This window comes from Homo sapiens, chromosome 10, assembly GCF_000001405.40.
Source record: "Homo sapiens chromosome 10, GRCh38.p14 Primary Assembly".
Taxonomy (NCBI): domain Eukaryota; kingdom Metazoa; phylum Chordata; class Mammalia; order Primates; family Hominidae; genus Homo; species Homo sapiens.
The window spans coordinates 52,445,362-52,471,527 of record NC_000010.11 but is presented as its reverse complement, the minus strand read 5'-3'; the positions used below and the strand labels follow the sequence as shown (position 1 = coordinate 52,471,527).

The 26,166-nt window shown below is 37.6% G+C and overlaps 1 long non-coding RNA gene across 2 annotated transcripts, besides 2 other annotated features; it reads left to right on the top strand.

Annotated features, from left to right (window-relative positions):
• The first annotated feature begins 994 nt into the window (after positions 1 to 994).
• Positions 995 to 20,651, top strand: LNCAROD (lncRNA activating regulator of DKK1). Of its 2 annotated transcripts, NR_120641.1 has the most exons (4): positions 995 to 1,131; positions 8,196 to 8,260; positions 16,779 to 16,942; positions 20,011 to 20,651. It is a non-coding gene; the product is annotated as a lncRNA activating regulator of DKK1 (long non-coding RNA). The 2 variants fall into 2 exon arrangements; NR_120642.1 differs by lacking the exons at positions 995 to 1,131; positions 8,196 to 8,260 and adding an exon at positions 16,256 to 16,422.
• Positions 1,153 to 1,745: an enhancer, noted in NCBI's record as "OCT4-NANOG hESC enhancer chr10:54229543-54230135 (GRCh37/hg19 assembly coordinates)". NCBI's record gives its function as "activates a minimal SCP1, AML or CMV promoter by ChIP-STARR-seq in primed H9 embryonic stem cells {active_cell/tissue: H9 hESC(primed)}" and the evidence as "EXISTENCE:reporter gene assay evidence [ECO:0000049][PMID:30033119]".
• Positions 18,335 to 19,203: an enhancer, noted in NCBI's record as "NANOG hESC enhancer chr10:54212085-54212953 (GRCh37/hg19 assembly coordinates)". NCBI's record gives its function as "activates a minimal SCP1, AML or CMV promoter by ChIP-STARR-seq in naive H9 embryonic stem cells {active_cell/tissue: H9 hESC(naive)}" and the evidence as "EXISTENCE:reporter gene assay evidence [ECO:0000049][PMID:30033119]".
• Positions 20,652 to 26,166: the final 5,515 nt, after the last annotated feature.

The window sequence follows — 26,166 nt, the reverse complement described above, 5'->3', positions numbered from 1 at the left end:
TCTCTCTGTTACCCAGGCTGGAGTGCAATGGAATATGCATAGCTTACTACAGCCTCTATTCTTGGGCTCAAGCAATCCACCTACCTCAGCTTCCCAAGTAGATAGGACTACACGTGCACCACCATGCTCTGCTAATTAAAAAAACAAAATCTGTAGAGATGGAGCTTTGCTGTGTTACCCAATCTGGTCTCAAATTCCTGGCCTCAAGTAGTCCTCCTGCCTCAGCCTCACAAAGCACTAGGATTACAGGCGTGAGCCATTGTGCCTGGCCTTACTGTAGAACTTTATAATTCATTATCTTCTTTACCCAGGTGTACATAGTATTAGTGAAATAAAATACATTAAATTAAAGCCATTTTTAATTTTTTGGTATACTATGGAATTAGGCATATTTGAAATTACTTCTCATATGACATTGTAAACATAGCCAAATTATTATCATTTTCTTCCTGTAGCAATAAGTCTGAACATAAAATCTTCCATTTTCTTATACAAAATGAAGCTTTAAAAAATCAAGAGCATTTAATTTGTTTCATATATAGGCCTTCTCAACTGCGATCTTGCCCCAGAGAAGAGAAAAAACTACACAGAAACCTTAAGCATTAAGACACATTATTGTAACTAAGAAAGAGCATAACGTTAATAGTGGCTTTTTCTAAGGTGTAAAATAATGAATTTTTAAGATACTTTTCCTTATTTTTCATATTTTGTATATTAAATATATACCACTTCTATCATTTAAAATATCTATTATGTTTTTAAAATAAAGGCTTTCTTTCCGCTTTCTTTCAGGCCAGAGGTAAAAGAAACAGAGAAGAAGAGATAATAATTCTAACAGAAATATTACAGCCTTTACAACTTGCATGCATACAGTTATACATTAAGAGACTGAAAAAGGCAGTTTCTTTTACTGCTAATTCTAGTAGTGATGAAACTCAGGCTCAAGTATTCAGGTGACTTGTTTGAGGTCACACAGTGCATAAATGGTTGCACCTGAGCTGAAATATGAGTTGTCCAACTCTTGTAAGTGCATGCTCCATCACATCATCCTGAGTCAGTAATGAGGATGCCATTGTACCCTTCAAGCAGCCCTGGAGAGTTTATCTCTGCATGCTGGAGCTAATAATAATAGTGAGTATTTATATAGTCCACACTAGGTACCACATTCTGCTTTAAGTGCTTTACAAATAATAACTCATTTCATCCATACAGCAACTTCATGGGGTCGATACCATTACTATCATCCTGTTTTACATATAAGGAAACTGAGGTTACATAACTAGGCCCTAGATCACTCAGCTAGAGGTAAGACTGGGATACAAGCAGACTGACTTCAGAGCCCATGCTTCACCATCACATTAAGTAGCCTGCTGATTTGTCTTTATTTGTTATGTTAACAGGAAAGGATTGCTTTCCTTTAGTGCAAGGTAAGCCACAAGGCAGATTATAGGAAATAGTCTACAAAAACTGAAGGGAGCAGCATCAATTTTCCCAAGGAATTTTTTTTCCTTTATACTTCTTTATCATTAGAGCCCAATTTGGACAAATTCTTTTCCACTCTGAGCCTCAGTCAATGTTTGGCTCATTTCATGAAGGAAACTGATGGTAGAGGCAAGAGTACACTGCTCAGCAGACCCTTTGTCCAAGGGTAATTTCATTGGCCTCCACCATTGTTTGCCTGTTAAACTGTGGCTTACAACATTTCAAGGAGCAAAGACAAAATGTTACACTTGTACTGTGGTGAAACTTTCCATTTCAAAGAAATAGATTCCAGCAGGCGTAAAGCTACCTGGAAGCAAAGGGTTTGTTATGGGGTTATTATAAAATAGAAAAACAAAAACTCAATCTGGAACATGACCCCTTTGTCGTACACATGCATTGCATCTGGCCTGCTGTACAATGTGGACCACTGGCAGAGACTGTGTTCACACATGGAACACAGGAGAGAGCTACTCTAAGAAGAAAAAGTTAGGAAAACTAGATTCTTTTCTTTTATTCTTATTTAAATTGTGATAAAATATACATAACAACACTTACCATTTTAACCATTTTTTTTCTTTGTGAGATAGAGTCTCACTCTGTCGCCCAGGCTGGAGTATAGTAGCACGATCTCAACTGCTCTCCCTCTCAGGTTCAAGTGATTTTCCTGCCTCAGCCTCCCGCGTAGCTGGGACTAGAAGTGTGCACCACCACGCCTGGCTAATTTTTGTGTTTTTAGTATAGACGGGGTTTCGCCATGTTGGCCAGGCTGGTCTCAAACTCCTGACCTCAGGTATTCCACCTGACTCAGCCTCCCAAAGTGCTGGGATTACAGGTGTGAGCCACCGCACCTGCCCATTTTAACCATTTTTAAGCGTACAGTTCAGCGGCATTAAGTACCTTCACATTGTTGTGCAACCATCACCACCATCTATCTCCAGAACTTTTTAACTTCCCAAATACAAACTCTATACCCCTTAAACAATAACCCCCCATTCTTTCCTCCCCCAACCCCTGGCAACCACTATTCCACTTTCTGTCTCTGTGAATTTGACTGCTCTTGGTACCTCACATAAGTAGTATCACACAGTATTTTTCCTTTTGCAACTGACTTATTTCACTCCGCATAATGTCTTTAAGTTTATCCATGTGTAACATGTGTCATAGTTACCTTCCTTCGTAAGGCTGAATAATATTGCATGGTATGTATGTATATACTGCATTTTGTCCATTTATCAGTCAATGGGCACTTGGGTTGCTTCCATATTGTGAATAATGGTGCCATGAACATGATGTAAAAATATCTGTCCAAGTCCCTGCTTTCATTTCTTTTGGATGCATGCCTAGAAGTGAAATTGTTGGATCATATTTTAATTTTTTTGAGGAACTGCCATTGTGCTTTCCATAGTGGCTGCACCATTTTACAAGTAATAGATTTTAAAGCCAACTAATGAGTTCAGTTTCTCTACCCTCCTTCTACTCCCTCAAAAAGACCAAGTGCCTCAGAGGTGCTGGTAGTCGCTAACAATGTGATTGCCAATTATACTATCTGTCTGTTCAGCGCAACCCAATTTACACTACAGTCTATCTCCCCTTATCTCAGTAAGCCACAATTTCACAAATGCTGCAGAACTTGTAAAACCATGGAACCTGCACCACTGCCATTCCCTGCCAAAATTACACTACCAAAATTTCATGACCAAGCCACCCAAGTGCCACATTTGAGCTGTGTTAATTAGGAAAGAAGACTAGCCTCAAAGACCTTTCAAGCTACTCTACAGCACATTGATTATTATTGAACATCTAGCTTCTATTTCACTGTTTCATAGTAGAGGTGAAAATATTTGCCTCAGAAAGCATGGTGTGCAGCTGTTTTACAACATCATAGTGAGAAATCTCTTGAATGCTTTAAGTAGGCGAACCCATGTCTTACTCACCCGTGACTCTACTTCAGTGCCTTGCATGGTGCCTTGTACAGTGTATAAGTCAGTGATAAATTCAGACAGCGTGTCCCAAACTTGAACAATTCACCTTATCATTCTCGATGGCTTTTGCTGTGTCCGCATGTCAAGTGACTTTTTTTACTTAAGTTAACATATGTAGTAAGAAAAGTATGTATTATCAGTACAGATGAAGAATCAGTATTCCTTGCTATAAATAAAACAAATACACTCATAAGAAAACAAATTAATTTATGTCACACCTATAGTTATTTTCTATCTGTCAATAGAATTTCTGGACTGGCTTATTTGATATATAACTCTGAATCTATTGATCTCCTCAAAAAATAGTACATTAGTAAATATTTTGAGAAGATAATTAAAAATAAAGGCTGAAGCAGAATAAAGAATTTGGTGTTAAAATGTTAGCAGTGATCATTTTTGTGATATAATTATGGATTATTATATTTTATGGTCTTAAAGGAAATAGGTGATTGAAATAAATAGAATATGTGTGTAGATATATGTATTATATTTAGTTGATAGAGACAATGGCTAAAGAAAAAAAGGCAAATAGTGGCAAATCCTAATAGCCAGTTCCATCAAATTGGCACTAGAGATTAGTGGGGTAATGATTGTTGCAGCCAGATCATCCTCACATCTTGTGACAAAAAGTGCACCAGTGGAATGGTATGAAGAGAATGCAGACATCAGCAACTATTAGAGAAAAGGTAAATGTGTGAACAATGACAGCCTGCCCAGCATAGGCATCTTCAGAAAAGCTCCCCTACACATTTCATTAACGAAATGGACTAACGGATGATCCACTATGTGCAGAACAATATACGAGGGATAATTCGTGATACAAAGAATATAAATCACTGTTCTTGTCCCAAGGTCTCTAATAATCTAGAAGAGATGGCCAAGAAAACCAAAATTATATTACAAATCACAGTGCTGCAAAAGCTGAATGCATATATAGACATATGTAACATTCTGTAGGTATGGAGAAAAGGAAGTGAGAATAAGAGCAGAGAAGCAACTGGGAAAGATTTCTGCGATGAAATTTTGAAAGCAAATGGATATTGACAATCGGAGTCAAAGGTATGAAAAGAGTCTTTTTTTTTGTTTTCAAAGGATAAATATTCATTTCTCCAGGACCAAGAAGAGGAAGTATCCTCTAGAACCTGGCACACTCCGTTTCTCTAGTTAGAACTGGGTAATGCTGGGGGAGTAGAGGGTTGAATGGATTGCCAAGGAAGGGAAAGGGAGTCAGTGGCAGTCACGGAGGCCTGGAGTCTCACATCATGCTAGCAAGTTAAAAGAGGGTACCAGTGCCAGCTGCTCACACTCCTCTGAGGCCTGATCTGTCCCTAAGCTGTCTCACTTCCTGACATCCCTTTCCAGCTGGGTGGCTATTTCCTGGGCCGTTGCAGACATCCCCCTTCACACTCCTTTCACAGCTGTGGTTTGGCGCTCTCTGCAAGAGTCCCAGTGCCAAAAGTGCCCTCTGGGCTTGTGTTCTGAAAGCAAAGGCCTGCTCATTTCCACTACAGAATTTACCCACAGAGACAGACGGAGGCAGCTTTTTTTAGATGGCCAAAGCAAATTGGCCTGCATGAATGACATTGGAGTCGTGTGGTAATAATCAGATCTGGTGTCTGGGACACCCAGGGGCACCAGCATAGGCTGTAAGTAGCTGAGAACTTTTCCTGCTGCATCATAGAAGCTGTTGGAAGCTAAGAAATGGAAGCATTTGAAGGATGAATGAAAACTCCTCCTCATCCATGATGTTTGGCTGTGGCTGGAGGGAATAGTCAAGTTGAAGTTATACAACAAACAGTTGTTTTTATGCTGAGCCAAGGAAGTGACTATGATTCTCCATACCTAGGTAGTGCTGAAGCAGGGGTCTCCAAACTGTGACCTGAGAGCCAAACCCATCCCTCTTGCTGTTTTCCTATACCCTGTAAGTTCAGAATGGCTTCTACATTACTAAGAAGATGAAAAAAATCAAAAATATTTTATCACGTTAAAATTATATGAAATTCAAATTTCAGTACCCACAAATAAAGTTTTATTGGAATACTGCTATGCCTATTGACTTACACGTCATCTCTGGTTTCTAGCTTCAAATGCAGAGTTGAGTAGTTACAGCTGAGACCTCATAAGGCTTTACTTACAAACCTTTTCAATCCCTGTGCTAAAGCAGTGGCCAGTGTAACCAAAGACAGGGGGAAGTGAAATAATAGTGGATGGGAAACTTTTTAAAATGAAGACATAGTTTTTTTTTTTCCTGACCTTCATTTTTAAATGTTCAGCATTCTTGGTTGCAGAATACACCACCCCGAGAAAGAGGTATATCTGGAGCTTAGCATTAATGCTTAAAACAACACTTAGATTTCTTTTTTTAAAACTTTGATTCTCCCATCTCCCACTCTCTCCCTTCCCCGCCACCCCTACCCAACACAAGCATGAGAAAAAAACCATGGGCAGACCACTCATGTAGCTAAGAAGATCTCAGTGACGTGCTGGTGCTCACAGGGACTCATTGGCAGTAGAAGAAGTACAAGGGCAGTGAATTGCAGGCTCCCCACGATGGAACCCAAAGAAAAATTAACTGAAACAATTTTATGGAAATGTATTCAGTATGCACAGATGACAACATGCCAGCAAGTCATTTCGGTATAGCATTCTAATTATAGACACCACTCTCAAAGTTTACTCAAGCTATATAGTATGGTCCCTTTTATAGAGTGTGGTTTAAATTGGCCACTTAAAAACCAGAGAGGTCACTTTAGGTTAACTAGTACAATTTGGTAGCTCAAAGGAACACTGTACTTCACTCAACTTATAGGACTGAGACTTCATTTTTCCTTAGGTTCTGAGGATTCCTCCAAGCCAAACAGCTGGAATGAAAAGTTAAAAAATGAATATTGTGTTAATCAAAAAAAAAAAAAAAACAGATGTTTTGTCACAAAGAAGTTATATAAGGAAACCCAGTTTCTGAAGGAAGCAAGCTGAAGTAGAGGTGTGTTGAACGGGAGTGTGGCAGTAATACGCACTTGGGTTATAGGTGGAGGAAAAAGGAAGAGGAGGCAAGAAATTTCTCAACATATCCTTTAAAGACATTCTGGTATGTTGAGTGTGACTACTCATGTTTAGGCACAAACTCAGCCAATCAAGGTAGAGAAAGGGCGTGACTCGGAGGGTAGTAACTACAAACTATTTAAAATACTCATATGATGACAAGTCTCCATCAACGTGTCTGATTCTTCCGCTTGCTGAAGGTAATATGGTACTTTGAAAAAGGCATAAGCTATTAAAGTATATTAAGAGTTTTACTCGAGTAGATATGATCAAATAAAGTTATCATAAAAACTACCATGAAGACAGGAGTCTAACCCATTGCTTGAATTAGACAGGCTTCTGGGTAACGATAAAGAGAAAGTGATTTGGCAGTGAGCTACAGAGAACTCAAACCCAAGGAATGAAGAACTGGGAAGGAAGCTAGAGGAGTGTTTCCAGAAAGGCCCAGGGCTTACATATTCCCTAGTTTATTATGAGAAATGTAATTTGTCGTATGTAAATTTCAAATAAGGAGCAAATATGCAAAGTCTCTTTTTTCTCTTTGTGAACTTTGCAAGCTCTCATAATGCCAGATGATAGAAACTTGATCTCAGGCAATTTCTAACCTCACCCATCAGACCTAGTATTTAGTACCTGGAGCTGTAGTACCTAGAGCTAGATTTCCATAGCACCAAAGTATTTTGAGGAGAGCACGGAGGATTGTATTATATTTCCAATAGAAAGGGCTATTCACATCTACCAGCTATCTTGTTGAACTTAGTGCTACTTTCATTGATAGCAGGATTTTCTGCTACTTCTCTTCCATACTGAGGCTACAGGTACTTTGCCAGGGCTGCCTCTAAAAGACCTCATCAACTCCTAGCTGCTCTTGAATGCAATGGAACCATTCTACTACTTCCACTCCAAGCCTAGATGCAGGGGACTCTGTGGGACAGCTCAAGCCCTTTGTCCTAGATGCAGGGGACTCTGTGGGACAGCTCAAGCCCTTTGTCCTAGATGCAGCACAGTCATTTCCAGGCTCACTTAGGAAAGAGGAAACAGTTTTCTTCTGCTTTCAGGTCTCCCAAACATGTCTGCTATTCCCTCCCATAGTTATTTAACTCTGAGACAGAGGCAAAGTACTGTAGCTCTTTGGAAGGTTCTGTTTCCCTCTGACTCTTTTCTTTCCCAACTCACGTTGTTCTCTATAGAGAAATCAAGGGGACAGAGAACACGAGCTTCCACTTACTCCTCTGATTTTCTTCTTACTAATCTTTTGTCTTATGGTCATGGCTAGACTTTTGAATTCAAAAGTTAGAAATTTGATTATGTTGCAATCTACATTCTTGTGTGAATTTCTAAAGTCTAGCTGCTGCCTCAATTAAAGGATGGCAGGATTTAAAATATTATCTCACTATTAATTTATTATCCCTGGGCAAACTTCACTATATCATAATCAAATATCCAATATTTTGTTTACTTACTTGATATTAAAGAGGAGAGTCTTTTAAACTTACAGATACAGTAAGAAGTGATTTCTTCAACCAAAATGTTTTAGTGCCACTCTTTTATAATTCTAATATATGTACAGCTAAGTCCCTGAGCACCTTCTTGTAATCATTGTTAAAACTGCATCAACAGAATGGCTGATGTGGACCCTGTTAAAATCAGTGCACTTTCTTTGTTTTGAGCCCATTTTCTTTTCTTTAGGAATCTCAAGAGCCTTCAAACATCCATATTATGCTGATGTCTTTTAAGGTGATTCAACTCAGCATGTAAGTGAGAAACAATGAATATTTTTGACTGAAATGCTGTACTTTGCCTTGATCTAAAAATTAATTGAGCTTCTAAACTTGACAGCACATAATCTAGCTATTTGCCTTTCGCTGAAAAATGAACAAATAAAAATATGAAAAATGTAATTACTCCCTGCTTTGATTTTAAGTTGCTTTGTTCTGAGTCTCTTACTTGGCATTGAACCTGTTTCTGTTGGGAACCAGCAGGATAGAGAACTTTAAAGGGCAGGTCATAGGAACAAATTTGCCTCCATTATTAAATGTTTGAATATTCTTCAGAATCAACAAAGCACTACAGTTTGAAACATCATGTCTTTAACAAGTTCAGGGATGAAAGTCTGAGTCCTAGCCTTCCATTTAAAGAAAAAAATGATACCTTTACACTTTCAAGGTAGGAATATGCTGAAAGAATATACAATTAAACACCCCTTGTTATAGATATAGCCTAGTCATATATCCTCAACTTGCTAAAGTGTAGTTTTTCCAGATTTAAGTCTTCTATTTGAGTCAAAAGAAAATCAATCCAGCACTTCAGTTTTTTCCCACAGAGTGAAGGCCAAAACAGATGGGATTTCTTCATTATTACTATGTTAATAAAATTAAATAAAAGGTAATGAGAGATTATATATTTTCTTTCCAAGCCTTTAGTTTTGGTATCTGTTACCATATCTGTCTTTACAACCTGTCTACAAGGTAGAAAAGATAGGGTATTATCAACTACATTTCAAGATAAGAACAAACATCTTACCTATGTATAATATGTTATCAACTACATTTCAAGATAATAACATCTTACCTATGTATAATATGTCACAGTTTATAAAACATACCTTATTTTGATTCTGACCCACACAGTACCCCATGATATATGTGAGTCAATCAGGTATAATTTTCTTTAATTTACATGTGGAAAGACTGGAATTCAGCAAGGTAGAATGTCTATCTGTGTCCTGCACTTAGAAAATGGAAGAGATGACTTTGTCAGGCCCATGACTTTACTGAGACACAGACGACTGGGTGAGAATAAGTCTATATCTCATAAGAATACACTCCAATAGTCTTTATTTTTTCCCTTAGAGCTTTACTTTATTTTTCTGGGGTTACATTGTTTCAAGCCATTCTTTTGTGAAATATGCTGGGAAGTACTTCCTAGACTTGATGTACTTGGAACAGCCCCATTTGACCCATTCTCCACAGAATTCTAGGGAGTTGTTGGATTTGAGGATTATTTTCTTCTACGGTTTTACATATTGAAAGTCTTGCTTCAACTCTCAAAGGATGTTGTTAAACACAGGATAAATATTGAATTGTCTCTCTATCCTCACAGTCTTCATGGTGGCAAATAAAAGTTTCTGTGAAAGGGTTTGCTCCCTGAAGACCCACAAGTGGTGGTTAGAAAGTGTCCACAAATTAAAGGCAATGAAAGATCACTAACCACAAGTAATAGATGTTATTTTAAAAATGTAAAATACATAAAATAGCCTTTATACGCTTGTATATTCTGTAGCCACTCTAACCAGGTGGCTAATGTATAAGTATTTTCCCAATTTTGAGCACTTTTACACACACAAAGATGCTTTCATAAAAGCAATCTGTGTAGGATAAATATTAGCCATAGTTACATGATTTCTTTTAACTTCTAACAGTAGAACAGTGTTAATCTGTAAGAAAAAAACTTTTAATTCCTTAAAATATCTGAATCAGTAATCATTCTGAAAGACTTTTCTGATTTTAATAAAAGGAAAAAAAAGAGAAATTAAAAAAAAAACCCAACATTGATTCAGCATTAAAAATCATTTCATTATGTAGGAGACATGAATATATAACTTCCAATAACCCACAGTTATTCTCTCCATTTGAAAATCGTCAGGTCTATAATGAGTACCCACTGGATATCTCATAATCATTTTAGGGGAGGTCAAGACTGATAAGACAGAAATCCTAGTCAGTGCCAGGGTAGGATTCTGAAGGCTGGGTATTCTCAAAATAGTTGAAGAAAGACAGAAACTAATATTTGCTTATTTTCTCCACTAAGAATGTTTGCCTACCTCCTTTCTACCTAATAAAAACCAAGTACATCTTTCGAGGCTCCTTTCAGGAACTGTTCTGCTGAAATCTGCTACTGTGTTCAGTTCTGTTGATACTGTATCTCATCTGTATTTTCTGATATCCATCTCTTTCTCAGTCTGCATTAACAATGTTCTAGCTTAAACCTTTATTATTCTTTGCATAGTTAGGATTTTAACTTTTAAGTAAGCAATAGCATCCTGACTTTTCCCTGCCTTCAGTCTGTCTCTCCACTAATTCCATCTGCAAACATATAGCTTAATCTTCCTAAAGAACCACTTCAAAATATGTCCATTTTCTGTTGAGGATTTTTTCACTGGCTGCCCTTTACCTACCAAATAAAGTAATAATCATTAAATCTTGCATTTCACAGTCTTCTATGGGCTGGAGCAACTTGCCTCTTCACAACCAACAATCTCTCATGCATGCTATGCTCCATAGCAATTTCTATATCTTTACAGACCTTGAGCTTTTACCAACCTTTCCAGTTCCTCACTTTCCTCCTCACATCCAGGTCTTATCTAATATTCAAAGCCCCATTTGAAGGTCAGCCTTCTGGATACCTTTTCTGAAACCCAATTTCAATATATCTTCCCATGTTCTGATATCCATCACTTTTTGCCACAGTGCTTTTGTGTGTGTGCAAGAGAATCACTATGTTTTGAAGGGTCAGATTTCCTGAGATTTAATTCCTGGCTATTTATGTGACCCTGAGCAAGGACTAATCCTTGCTGCCTCAATATTATGGGGAGGGGGAAGACTAATAGTACCAACTTCAAAGCTTGTTGTGCAGATTACAAATTAATATACGTAAATGTCCTTAGTAAGTGCCCAATAAGTATTAGCTATAATTATGTATATCTTCTCTCTCATAATACTAAGAAACTTTGGGATGGGACTTCAGGCTACACATCACTGTGTCTCACCATGGTGATGGAACATATGCCGGTGTTCAACACACATATGTTGGATAAACATATTTATTTATGAAGTCCCATTCTGCCCCTTTCAGTTTCTTAGACAATACCTGAATACCCATAAAGGAATATAGTTCATTGATGATCAAGGCAGCCTTCCCTCTTACGATGTAGATGGGTGATTAACTGGACTTGAAGTGTATGAGAATCAACATTCCCCATAAAAATACTTCCCCTTCTTGACGAACATGGAACAGGTAATCTGTATCCATTCTGTTCCTCCAAAGGGTTGAAACATTGGTTGTAAGGTGACACAGGAGCAGAGACATGAACAGCAGGTCCAGAGAAATTTACATTTTCAAGGGTCATTTCCCTGCATTTTCCTACACTCATGTTTACCGTTCTCTTAAAAATACTCTGAGGCCAGGTGCCGTGGCTCACGCCTGTAACCCCAGAACTTTGGGAGGCCAAGGCGGGTGGATCACCTGAAGTCAGAAGTTCAAGACTAGCCTGGCCAACATGGTGAAACCCCGTCTCTATTAAAAATACAAAAACTAGCCAGGCGTGGTGGCATATGCCTATAATCCCAACTACTTGGGAGGCTGGGGCAGGAGAATTGCTTGAACCCGGGTGGCGCGGGTACAGTGAACCGAGATTGTGCCACTGCACTCCAGCCTGGGGGACAGAGTGAGACGCTGTCTCAAAAAAACAAAACAAAAGAAAACAAAAAAAACCTGAGTAATATTCATTCCTGAATAGGAGCAATTAGCAACTAATAAGCTGTATGTGCCTTACTAGGACCCTCAACACATTAAGGAAACTGTCCACAATTTGACTATGGGCTTTTAGGAAATAGGATGCTGACTTTGAATTGTGCATTGAAATTCATTAAAAGGATTGGCTGCAGAATCAGAAAGTCAACATTCAGAAATATATGGTATTTATTTAGGGGATTCTTAGACTCTGATGCATAACATTAATCCAAGCACAGACAGAATGAAAAGTACCATTTCTCCAAATGGCATTAATGTCTAAATACCAGCTTTATAAATACTGAATTACTCACAAACCTGGAATATGTGTATTTTTTCAAAAGTACCTATGTTTAGCATCTAAAGTTTCAGAAGAAAAGACATTTATAATGGATACATTTTGTCACATTTGTGATTCCATGTATGTGTATGTTAAGTTAGGACTTCAATTTTTACTAATACTAAAATTTTTCTTTTGCATTGATAATTTGTGTGTTCCCATGAGAAAAGAAGAGTTTCCTTAGCCTGACCTTCAGCCTCTATCATTAACAATTGTAGATATCAAAGTAGAAAAAAGAGCTACCATTTACTGAATGTTATCTGTATTGCAGTACTCAAAATAAGCCCACAAGGCAGGCATTATAATTTCTGTATAAGAGGTGAGGAATAGGAGGCTCAGTGTAGCTCAGTGGTTTGTCAAAAGTCATAGCTAGCAGGAGGGCCAAGACTCAAATTCACATCTTTCTAATCACAGAGAGGCTTCATCTATGGCTAGTTCATAATAAATTCAGATTTACAAAGTTTTATAAGTTTTGCTTATAATGAATGCTGTACTTATAAAAATGTACAGTTTTGTTACTTTCTAAGCACATTGGTCTAACTTTTGGTTCCCTAGCCAGGTGCTCAAGACTGTGCCCTGCCTGCAGCCAACTACTAAACATGGGCAATTTATTAAAAGTGTCTTCCTGCAATAGCTTCCTGGGGACTCAGGTATAAATCTACCCAATCTACCAATTAGCCTATACACGTTTCTACCACGTGCTAATAAATCTACCCAATTAGCCTATACACGTGTTTCTTGATGCTGGGCCCCTTTCTCTTTCCATACTTTCTTCAATAATATTGTGTTTTTAGAATGGTCCAGGGATGGGCACCCCAATCTTAGTCAAGGTAGCAAAAAAAGACATTTACAGGGAGGGTTTCCTACACTTGCTTAACACTCCTAATGGAGAGGTGCCTTCTCTTCATTTCTTTAAAGATCATTCTCATGAGTCAAAAATATCATGAAAAATAGTTTAAATGCTCTGAGGAGAAAAGCAGTGAGAGTTGAGGACATGTAATCCAGGTTATAAAAGAAATGGTTGTGCACCGATGTTCATGGCCGCATTATTCACAATCGCCAGGAGGCGGAAGCAACCTACATGTCTGTCAAGAGATGAATGGATAAACAATATATGATGTATATTTAATACATGCAACGGAATATTATTCAGCCTTAAAAAAGAAAGAAATTCTGACCTGTGATACAATATGGATAAACCTTGTGGACATTACATTCATGAAATAAGTCAGTCACAAAAAGATAAATACTGTTTGATTCCACTTATATTAGGTAACTAGAGCCATCAAATTCATAGAAACAGAAAACAGAATGGTGGTTGCCAGAGACTAGTGGGAAGAAAAAGTGAGGAGTCATTGCTTAATGTGTATAGAGTTTCAGTTTTCAAAATTAAGTTTCTGGTGATTGGCTTTACAACAACGTGAATATACTTACCATTATTGAATTCTACACTTAAAAATTATTAAGATGGCACAGTTTATGCTGTGTGCATTTAACAACAATACAGAAAAATTAATGGTAAATATTTGAGAAATGTGGTTATGGGAAATTTGTAAGTTTTGAGTGTGTGAGGAATGAAGACATTTGGAGAATGTAGAACGACAGAAAAGAATGGTACCAACTACTAATTCCCAAGCCCAAAATGATTTCCCACCTTACCCTGGTACCTATTATTAATTCTCTAGTTTGAGGTACAAGCAAGAAAAGATACCTATCTAAACACTTAGGATTGCACACCATTCATTGACATTAATTACTTGGGTAATTTTCATAATCCTTTACACTATTTAAAAAAATTTAACAGTTCAGTCAGACAGATAGATTTCTCTCAATTGAATTTAAATTAAATAAGTCAAATGGCTGTCTTTTAATTAACACTAAATTACATCCTATTAATCAAGTATATTCTGCTATTGGAATGTTGTTGCATTTATTAAGTATTTTATTGAAAAAACATTTCAATAATATAATTAAGTTTCTGTCATATTTTATGAGATAAATATTTGCTAGCCTATTGTGTACACAACAGAGATACAGAATGGCATATTGGAATAGAAATGCAACCAGACATTCAGGCCTGGCTTTGAGTCATAGATCTCCTTCTGGGTAACCCTGAAAAGCAAGCTAAAATTTCCAGGTCTCAGTTTATCTTTCAGCAATGTGAAAGAATTAGTCTAGGCTGGGTGCAGTGGCTCACACTTGTAATCCCAGCACTTTGGGAGGCTGAGGCAGAAGGATCACTTGAGGCCAGGAGTTCAAGAACAGCCTGAGCAACATAGGGAGACCCTGTCTCTACAAGTTTTCTTTAATTAGGCAGGCATGGTGGTGTGCACCTGCAGTCCCAGCTACTTGGGAGGCTGGGATGGGAGAATTGCTTGAGCCTGGGAAGTCAAGGTTACAGTGAGCTGTGATCATACCACGGCACTCCAGCCTGAGTGACAGAGACCTTGTGTTAAAAAAAATAGTCTAAAGTAGGGTCAGCAAACTTTTTCTATGAGGACAAAATAGCAAATATTTTAGTCCTTTTAGGCTTTGTGGGAAGAAGCAAAATGAAAGATAATGAGAAAAAACAAATCTTCTAAATACATTTCTAAATACATTTCTAAATACAAAATTTTCTAAATACAAAATTCAAAATACAATAATTACTATTTTTTGTAATTCATGTTTACTAATGAGGGGAATAAAATTTCCTCTCAATAAATGCCATGCTTCCAGAATGTTCCTTCTCAGCCTCTTTGGCTGGACTCCTCTGTTCAATTTCTAGATGCTGGTATGTTCCAGAACCCTCATTTCTCTTCCATCTTGATTTTCTTCTTGCATTAGCTTATCTAGTTCCACAGTTTTAAAAACCATTTACACATTATGACTTTCAAATTTGTATCACTATAGTTGACCTCTCTACTGTAGGGTATGTTTATATAACCGATTGCCTTTTTCTCATTTATTCCATGTCTAAGAGGTACCTCAAATGAAATAATTCCTAAAATTGTTTCCTACCCTTATCTCTCTCTCAGTAAATGATACCTTCACCTACCAGGTAATTCAAGCTGAAAATCTAGGAATCATCTTAGATCATTGCCTAAACTCTCTCCAACAAGAACCAGTTTATTAGCATTCATTTGAGTATTCTTTGTATAAGGAGAAAAAGCAATCAGAGTTGAGAAGCTGTATATCTGTGTTCAACATAGAAATAACCAGATATATTCTGGCTGTAAAGTAATTATAAATGTTATTAAGTCAGCCCCCTAAACAAATTTTGGACACATCCACTTCTCCTCATCTCTACTAATATCACTTAGTCCCAGCTACCATTACCTCTTACTTGGACTACTGCTCTTGCTTCCTAAATGGTGTTTCTATTTACATTTTCAACTCCAACCCCTGCTGCACCCAATCCATTCTCTACAGAGTGGTCAGAATGATCATCTCAAAGCACAGTCAGACTTTGTCACCTCCTGCTTTTAAGTTTTTGCACAGATTCCCACTTTTTAATTTGACATATATTAGTATCTGATTAGTATGTTCCTAGCACTATTCTCATTGCTGGGGAGATGGCAGTGAATAGACAGACAAAAATCCCTGCCAAATGTAACTTACACTCTAATGAGGGGAAATAGATAATAAACCAAAAAAAAGTGAATCAGATAGCATGTTAAATAGTGATAAATGCTTTGGAGAAAAATAAAGCAGGGAGCTAGGCAAGGAGATGGGGTTTGGAGGCATTACAACTTTCAATAGGGTTGTCAGCAAAGGCCTTATTGTGAAGATGCCTTTTCAGTAAAGACCTGAAGAAGGTGAGTCAGAAAGGAGGTGGAGTTTGAGGGTAATAGCATTCCACGGAGCAGAAAAAGCAAGTGCAGGAACAGCAAGAAGCAGAGTGAGAGAGGTGGGGAGAATTCAAGATGATGTTAGAGAGATGACAGAGTCTAGGTTAGGGAGGGCCTGAGTCCTTGTAGACTCTGAGTACGGTGCTGAGCAGGGAAGAGACAGGCTCTGGCTTAGGGTTTAGAAGGAACACAGGCTACTGCGATGAGGATTGTCTGAAGGGGAACAAAGGCCAAGGTGGGGAGACCACTTAGAACTCTACTGCTCTACTTTAGGTGAAATGTTAGAACTGGGTGAGCCGAAAACATGCTCAGCATCTGTGAGGAGGGGGCACAGAGGGAGCAAGGATGGATCCAGGGTTTTTAGTCTGATCAACTGAAAGTCTGGAACAGCCATTACTTAAAATAAGGAAGTCTAAGGGAAGAAGAGATTTAGGGGAGAATATCACGAAACTTGGTTTTAGGATGGGTGCATTCGAGATGCAGATTGCACATCCAAGCCAAGATGCCAAGTAAGCAGTTGGATGTTTAAATGTGGATTTGAAAGGAGAGGTAGAGGCTGGAAATATAATTTTGGTAGTCATTCTGTTACAGATGTTGTTTGAAGCCGTGAGACTGAGTGAGATCATGGAGGAAGTGAATGTAAATAGAAAAGGGAAGAAGTCTGAAGACGGAGCCCTGAGACACTCCATTGTAAACTGGAAGATGAGGAAGAGCCAGCAAAGGAGACTGAGAAGGGGCAGCCAGTGAAGATGGAGGTAACCAGGAGAGTGTGGTGTCTGAAAGCCAAGCAGCAAAGGGTTTCCATGAGGAAGGAGAAATTAACAAGGTCAAATGCTGCATATGGGTTAAGCAAAACTAGAATACCTTCTAAATAGAGTATGTTCTAAAATTATTACCAGTACTTGAAATCACCTACAAATTGATCTCCTTTATGTCTATGCCTTCATCTCCTAATATCCCCTCCCTTCCTCAGTATAGCCTCTCCCCCATTTTCCTCTCCAGCTTTCATCTGCTACCTCACTCTCTCCCTCGTTCACTATCCCTTCTCTAGACCAGCCCTTTGTTTTTCCAGCATGTCAATATATTGTCCAGCCCTTTGTTTTTCCAGCATGTCAATATATTGTCCTATCTGTTCTTCCCGCTGCCTAAATGTTCCTTTTACTTCATGATTACTTCCTATCATTACAGTTTTTTTTCATGACCACTCAGTCTACAGTACCAATTTTATTAATGTTACTTCCACCTCCTTCCACTCACTCTTTATCCCACCACTTTGTTCTTTCCCTTTATGTAATTTTCAGCATCACAACATTTTCAGTTCATTGTTTTCCATCCCACATAAAAACAAGGATCTAGACTGTCTTGTTCTGTGCACTGTGTCGGGCTAGAACAAGGAGTGCTATAACATTCATTCAATGAATATTTACTGAATAAGCTAATTAATCTATATTTCAAAATTTTAACAAAGTTGTATGTAAAGCATACCCAAACACTGGTAAATCATTCCAAATTGAGATGTACAGAGGAAGAAATCTGAGAGGAATTTTTATTTGATGATGCAGGAAAGTATTTCTTTCAAGTGTTTTTCAATTTACATGTTAATTGAAAAACATTTCCCAATCCATTTGAGCATTTGGCAATCCCTCTGAGACACAGTTCATCTACCTTATTTCCACAGCGCCTCAAATACAACCTTGCATTTGCCTAAGATGGTGCTGTATTATAACTTCATGTTACCTTTCATAGTTCCAGGAATCTGTAAAAGTAATAGTATCATCTTTATTCAGGTCTAGTTTATAGTGGACACACCTTGACTGTTTATTGAAAAGATGTTTAAATAAATGAATATTGAAATATTTAATTAAGAGTAGCTGCTGAGGAACAGAAAACCAAACACCGCATGTTCTCACTTACAAGTGGGAACTTAACGATGAGAACACATGGACACATCGGGGGCAACAACACACACGGGGGCCTGTGGCGGGTGGGAGGGAGAACACCAGGAAGAACAGCCAATGGGTGCCGGGCTTAATACCTGGTGATGGGTTGATCTGTGCAGCAAACTACCATGGCACACGTTTCCCTATGTAACAAACTTGCACATCCTGCACAGGTACCCTGGAACTTAAAAGAAAAGTTGGTCAAAAAAAAAAAAAGTAGCTACTGAACAGTCAAGTAAAATTTTCTTATTCATTCATTTCCTACCGTCCTTCTCAAGAGAGTTGTCTTCTAAGAGGTCCAAATGAACACAACTTATCACTGGAAGCTCTTTTTAAAAAATCGCTCTAATGAAATTCAGGGGATGAGTAGAAATGGGGTAGGGGCAGGCTTTGTGTTTGATAATTTGGTGTGCTCTTTCATCTTCCCTCTGCAGTCTTACGCTCATTGTTTGTTGCTGCTAAAGCAGTAAATGTTGTTTGTCTTCATTGCAAAACCAAGGATAGAAAACTTTGAAGTGTTTTCTGTTGCTTAATGTCACCTACTGTTCCTGTCAGCAAACTGAAATAAACCTGATGGACTGAGGTGTCTGGTCTAATTCCTTTATTGACACATAGTCCTGTCTTCAAACACCAGTGTAAATGAATAAGTACTGAGATAGTAATGTGTCAGTAATAGGCTGCCAGATAAATGCCATTGTTTACGTACTGATCCCTGCTTCCTAAGGCCCAAACAGCTCAAAAATCTTACAAATTAGCACCTCGCTGAGATCAAAGAATTGTCTTTTCTTTCTGCAATTACCTACTTGGAGAGCGGTGCAAGCAGATGAGACGAGTTTAAGCTGTCTCTCTCTAGCCCAAATCTTTCTTTTAAAGAGAACAAATGGTGGAATTATACACTGTTTCAGGAAAAGGCAGTTAAGAATAAGAGATTTTACCTTATTTTGCCATGTAAGAACAAGGGGATTTTGTATTTTAATTTTTATGTTAATCCACCAATCAATCCCCATTATAATTATTTTACTGAAAATTCAGTGGAAAGAGCCATGTTCATCCTTAACAACCATCTTTTGGGATCAGATTTAGCTGCAAATTACAAAAATAAAAATAGCTTTGAATTCAGTGACACCATAGTACTCACACTTCAAGCAGAAAGTATGAGAAAAATAAATGCTTTCTGAAGGAGTAAAAATTTAGACAACACATCTTCTAATTTCATTTTTGGCATATCTTAAACAGAAAAGTGCACCATTAGTCTCTCTTAATTTAAAAAAAAAAAGGCATAATTTTATGACTTTCCTTGCTTACCAAGTTCTTTGCCCTGAAGCACATTCCAGTTCCATTAGCCTGTGTCCAAAATGGCATTGTTTTATTTGAAGATATTGAGAAATGAGAGGATAGAAGGATGTAACTTGAGTTTATACTATTTAGTAATTGTCTTTCATATTAGTCATACAATCTACAAACAAGAAACCTAGTGTTCAAAACTTATTATGGCTTAGGGTAATGTTGGCTTCTTTATAAGAAAGACAAAATCCTTTCTTGGTGGCAGGCTTTATCTTTTATGCAAATGAATAAAGTCTGCTTTCAAATTCTAGTGTTAGACTTTGTGTTAGTCAAAGCCTTGACTCCTATGGATAAGTGAGTGGTTTAAAGAAATAAAAATTGACCTGAAAAGTAATTATCTGCAATAACTTGGAATCCTTTTTCCCTGTATATGTTTTACTTCACTTATTCACATCCATGTTTTTTAAAGAGAGTATTAAATGCCTTATGCCAAAGAGTTCACGTAAATAAATGTGAACTTAAGGCAAATTTTAATATAATTTGTCTCATTTTTCTAAAACTGTTTCTTACATTAAACATTCTTGTATCTTTGGAATCAGCCAGGGCTAGAGTAAGAGCCCCTTCTGGGATGCTGTGACCCCCAAGTTTGAAGACTGCTGATAACCCCAATCTACGAAGACTAGCTATGGAACTTCCTACACTGAGACAACTCCAGTGGAACTCTGATAATTATCCTAAAATAAGGAGGCTTCTTCAGTAGCCCTCGAAATATGTTCAAATACATGATTACATTTATGTCCTTAATATTGCTATTAGTTTCTGATGTTAATGTAAAAGTTGGGGAAAAAGTGGAAAAGTTAAAGCAGTGCAGGTTAATTCAATGCCAGAGTAACTTCTCAGAGGGTGTATATTCAGTGTGAACAATTTTCAACAGAGAAATGTCAACTTCTGGCCACAACGGCAACCAGTAAAATGACTATTTTTACTGTCTTATCTATTAATGAAGAGGAGATTGCATAATATAGATGAAGGAGCATAGTATTTGCAGGTGGAACGCCTAGCAGGGCTTGAGTCTCAACTCTGCTGCTTTTACTCTAATTGACCGAGACAAGTCATTTAAACTAATAGAGCTTCAATTTTCTCATATCTAATGTAACATAACAATTCACAGCCTTTTACTTTGTAGTTATCGTGAAGATCTAATCGCAGTGAAATATATTTATATATCTGTCTGCTGATAGAACTTTTGTCATAGAGGCTAGTCCATTTTATGTCAACGGGGCTTAAATAAGATCTGTGCCAGCAACTGAATTACACTAATGAGTGAGTAATTACAAAAGAAGCCTGCTTTATCAATCTATATAAAGAAGAAAGTTACTGAGTATGGAGGGGAGATTCTCCTTTCATATTGGCACTCATTCTTACTTTCCCTGAAATAGAGATTATAGTAGTCTACCAGCAATTTTCAAACTTCAATTCTGGCCTGGAAATTGGACAGAAGGGGTCCAAGGACAATGAACCGAAAGTGCCAGTGAATGTCTCAGTGCAGACTTGGAGTCATAGTGGTTAATTTGCAAAATTAACTCCCTATTCAGACTTCAGGCAGTTACATGTCAACCAACATCAACTTCGACCCTTAATCTTCAGCCTCAACCTAGTAATAATATCTCTGAGGTGAATAAGCTATGAAGTGGACATTTCCACCTTCCTTTATTTTATTTTATTTATTTTTTTGAGATGGAGTCTTGCTGTGTTCCCCAGGATGGAGTGCAGTGGCACAATCTGGGCTCACTGTAACCTCTGCCTCCTGGGTACAAGAGATTCTCCTGCCTCAGCCTCCCGAGTAGCTGGGACTAGAGGTGTGTGCCACCACGCCTGGCTAATTTTTTGTATTTTTAGTAGAGACAGTGTTTCACAGTGTTAGCCAGGCTTGTCTCTATCTCCTGACCTCTTGATCTGCCCGCCTCGGCCTCCCAAAGTGCTGGGATTACAGGCATGAGCCACCACACCTGGCCCCACCTTGCTTTTTTATTAAGACTGCTAATAATAAGTTACTGTGCTTTCTTATTATATCCCCTTTTGGTCTCTGTTAACAAAAAATACAGTTGTATGTAAATTTTAGTATATGACAATGTTCATCTCACAATACGTACAGTGATAATAGTGGAAGAGGAAGGAAGGTAAAACTTTTGCTGTGATTCCATAAATGAGCAACGTGGGACACCCTTGTATGAGTCCAGTGCTTACACAAGCGCCTGAACACAGAGCTGCCAGGCTGGGTGCATGTGTCAAACTCTGCCAAAGCCCTGAAAGCACCAGTTGTGAAAAGCTGGAAAAAGGTCTTGGCAACCAAAATTCATGTTGATTTTTGTCACCTTTTTGAGCAAATATTCTTTGCAGATCAATAGTCCATTGGTTTAATTTTACAAATGTTTTCTTTTGAATTTTCTTTCCTCCCAATGTAGTTTCAAAAAACTAGTCCATTTAAAAAATGATCCTTTTTATGGAGTGAAAGAATACAATACTCAGAGTGGTTCCATGCTCAAGTTCCAAGATGCAAATTTTTTTATGCAAGTCTCATATTCAATTAATAGCCCCGAGATTATGAAAGATCCATTACCTTCTCAATTGCAGATTCAGGTATTGCCAACACAACACAAAGCAGCATTAAAATTCATGTCATTCTATAATGGTATTTTCCAAAATGTACTTTTTCCAAACACTTTCCAAAATGTACTTTTTCAGGTTGCTTTAAAAATTTTAATATAAAATTTAACAATTAAAAATGTATTTTATAGTCAGAATAGCAGGAACTCTTTGTAAGTACTGAGGGATTATCACTAAATAAAATGTATAGCAAGTGTGCTATAGCAGTATTCTTCTGTAAGAGATATCCAGAGTTATTGACCTGAGAGAAGGAGGAGAAATGCATGTATGAATGCAAAGAATCCTGTTTTTCTTCAGCAGGGTACTGAAAACTAATTCTTCTTCATGAGGGAAGGCAAACAACCCTCTCTCTGGTCTCTTTTCTACTATGATTCATTTTTTGGTCTAAGTTTTTTCCCAAACCAAGAGTAGACTCCCTCCTGAGTCTCTATTGACTTACCTGGCTGCCAACAAAGGAAGGCTACTAGTTTCTTGGAATTCATATAATTATATTTCTGTGGGCACTCATAAAGAGCCATCAGCTCTGTCCTTGCACACCCCACTTCTAGACTTGCCTCCAGCCGGGGGTGGTAATAACTGAAAAGAAAACATTTCTTGACCTACTCCAGTACCTCATAAATCGAAATGTATCCCTTCAACTAACACTCAAATTCCATCTTATTAATATAACTGCCAAACTAAATTAAGTCCAATTTTACTTTTTTGTTTACCTCCTATACAATGGAATCATATTTTTTCATATTAAAATTTTAGCAAATAATATGTCACCTACCATTTGCACCTCCACACGATGCTAGAGAATTAAGTTGGGAAAGTCAGACCTCCAATGCTCTTGATACAAATAAGTCCTGACCAAAGATTTAACCAGAATGTTCCCTCAGTGCTGCTAAATAAATATTTATTTATGTATGTATTTATGTAATACTTCTCCTTTGAAAAGAGAACTTGAGGTAGTCTCCAGAAATATACACATACCAGTGGAAGAAAAACAGACCAATCTGTGGAAATTAAAGCAAGAAGAAAGATAAGCTGGAAGAAAATATATATTGAAGCAGTAATGTTGGTGCCTGCCATACTGGTCTTAGCGTTCTGATAGGTTCCTGCATGTTGGTGGTAATTTTGAAACAGACTATCCTAATAATCCAGGCAAATATAGTTTGAAAGCACAATTAGTCATGAGACTACCCATGTTGCTGGCCAAAATCACACTGCTGTGAGAGACAGCACAGTTGTTCCTGTTCCTGAGATGCATGAGGAATTTTTCTCATGGTTCCTTATGAAGTAGACACTGAGTGATTGGTAGCTATTAGTGGGAAGCAGGATATCTGGGAAGAAGAGGGAAAAATGACAGCATTGCACAAATTTGAGGGAATGGATTCTTTGCCTTTATCATATTTAATGTAAGCTCCTAGTGATTAATGAGTTTGAAATGCCTGGTCATCTACATATGTGTGCCTGATTCCAGGAGAGATGGAGTCTGACAGTTTGTATAGCAGCTAAGTTCATGGGAATGGAGTCTGCTGCCTAAGGCCCTGAGCAGCCTTTATTGCAAATTCTGTAGAGTAACCCGCTGTGTAGCAAACAGTCAGGATCACTTATTATTATTTACAGACTTTCCAAAGCTCTCATCAAATAGGAGCCCCACACTGTCAATTTCTGGAAATATCAATGCTTAATGCTTCCCCATTCACAAAGTATGGGGAAGGTGTTGTCAATCTGGGGATAGAGGGGAGACTTGTGCCACGTTTTAGAGGATGGCACTTTGGAACTTAGGGATACAGAAGTCTAATGTGAGGACAGCCATTTGGCGGTCACCTGTCTTATTCACAAGAGAGGAATTAACTTCATAGCATCCCTATTGTTTGAAAAGGGGACTTACTGAGTGCCATCTATGTGCAAGCTAATAGGTAAACAGTAATATGTTTTCCAAAAGCAGATGGAAATTTTGAGAGTCCCAAAGCTTATATAATTAAGGGCAAAGAGAAGGTTTAAGAAATTTATAAATATAAAACTATGTATAAGACTGCGCATGTAGGCCATGCAGAGGAGGTAAAGTGCAAGCTTTGGTAACTTCACAGAAAATCTATCTATGATGGTGTTCTCCTATAATCCTCAGAGTAACCAATGATCTGAGTGAAACTCTCTCCATGTGACACAGGACAAAACTGAGATCCAATTTTTGTAGTTGCCAAATTTTGCAAATAAAAACAATGGACTTTAAGTTAAATTTGAATTTCTAATATACAACAAAAAAATTTTAATATAAATATGTTCTCAATTTTTTTATATTAAAAAATCATCTATTGGGATCTGGAATTCAAATTTAATCTGGTGTCCTGTATTTTATCTGGTAGTCTTACCAATATTATATAGCCTAGTTTTTAACCCAGATTTGTTGTATAAAAATACAAAGTTCAAATATATTTTATTCCTTCCCTATTATAAGTACCACATGTTTAATAATTACTAAGCACAGTCATTTTCCCCTTAAATAAAAGTAATCTTTGCATTAAATTGTTTATTATTTAAATAATGGAAATTATATATACTCTAGTTCTTAAAAACTTAACTTTAAATTATCCAGGTAATAATAGTTATTGCAGAAAAAATTTAAATGCAAACAGAAAAGGCAAGCAACCTTTATAATCCTCTCTTTCACAGATGACTTCTTTTGTCATTTAGTTTTTTATATCTTCTGACTTTCTTATGCAAATAGCTATATATTGCTTTAAAAAAGAATCAGTGTTATACATTCTTTTAAATACAAAGTGACTTAAAAAAACACAACTTTATTTTCTTTGTGCTGGGCCTTGTATGTGATGATAGAGATTTGGCAATCAATTATCAGGATTTGGATGAAAAAAATCAGCAAGTAGAATACCAGATGTGAAAACTTCCCACAGAAATTCTTCTTCCTTTGAAGTGTGAGATTAATGATCTATATCAGACGGTCGGTTGACCGTATTGCAGTTAGACCTAATGTGAAACATTTCAGATGGCTACCGGATGATACAGGTATGGCTGATAAAAAGCCCCTCAGAATTGAGATAAATCGGCTTGGTCTCATCATTATCTCATAGAGCAATGCAGGCAAAGGAAAAAAAAATATGTCTCTTGACTGATTATTTGAGTTCTTATTGCAGATTTAAAATAAAATAAATCAGTGGGATTACATGTCAAATTTATCTACCAGAATTGTCACCTAATATATATAGATATTGGTTTTCTTTCAGAGGAGAGGGAAAATAGAGAAAAATGGATAACTTGTCATAAATGTAAAACTTCAGAGAGAACTAACAGAAGCGTGCAAGCTATGTTTTTACAGGCAAAACTTTTTTCTTCTATAGAACAAGCCTATATTAAGCAACATCGGCGACTCAACTGTTTGTCCCAGTGCAGAATTTAGGGCTGCCTTCACATGAAGCAAAAGGAAGTGTCAAATAAATTATTGGAAAACTGCGTTTCAATACCTGCATTACCTTGTCTGGCTATACAGAGTTAACTTGGGTTTCCTAAGAATTTTCTGGGAATTTTTACTGAGTATGCCTGGTCAAAGTAGAATAATCTACATAATCACCTGTGATTGTCCCTAAGGATAACCTGCCCTTGACTCTATGTCTGACTTCCATCTTTGAAACCAACACCTATTGTTACAAGGAGGAGGGACCATATGGTAATATCTACAATTAACAGATATTCCACAGTCAATTCCTTAGTAGAATAGAGAAAAGAAAAAGTGCTGGTCTGGGACCCTGGAGACTTGAAATCCGGTCATGAATCTAACAATGTCAACACACAAGTTGGCAAGTTGACGCAACGCCAACTTACACAACTTGTACAATTTACCCATTCTTGTCTGGGTGCAGTGGCTCACGCCTGTAATCCCAGCATTTTGGGAGGCTAAGGAGGGCAAATCATCTGAGGTCAGGAGTTCAAGACCAGTCTGGCCAACATGGGAAAACCCTGTCTCTACTAAAAAATGCAAAAATTAGCTGGGCATGGTGGTGCACGCTTGTAATCCTAGCTCCTAGGGAGGCTAAGGCACGAGAATCCCTTGAACCTGGGAGGTGGAGGTTGCAGCAAGCCAA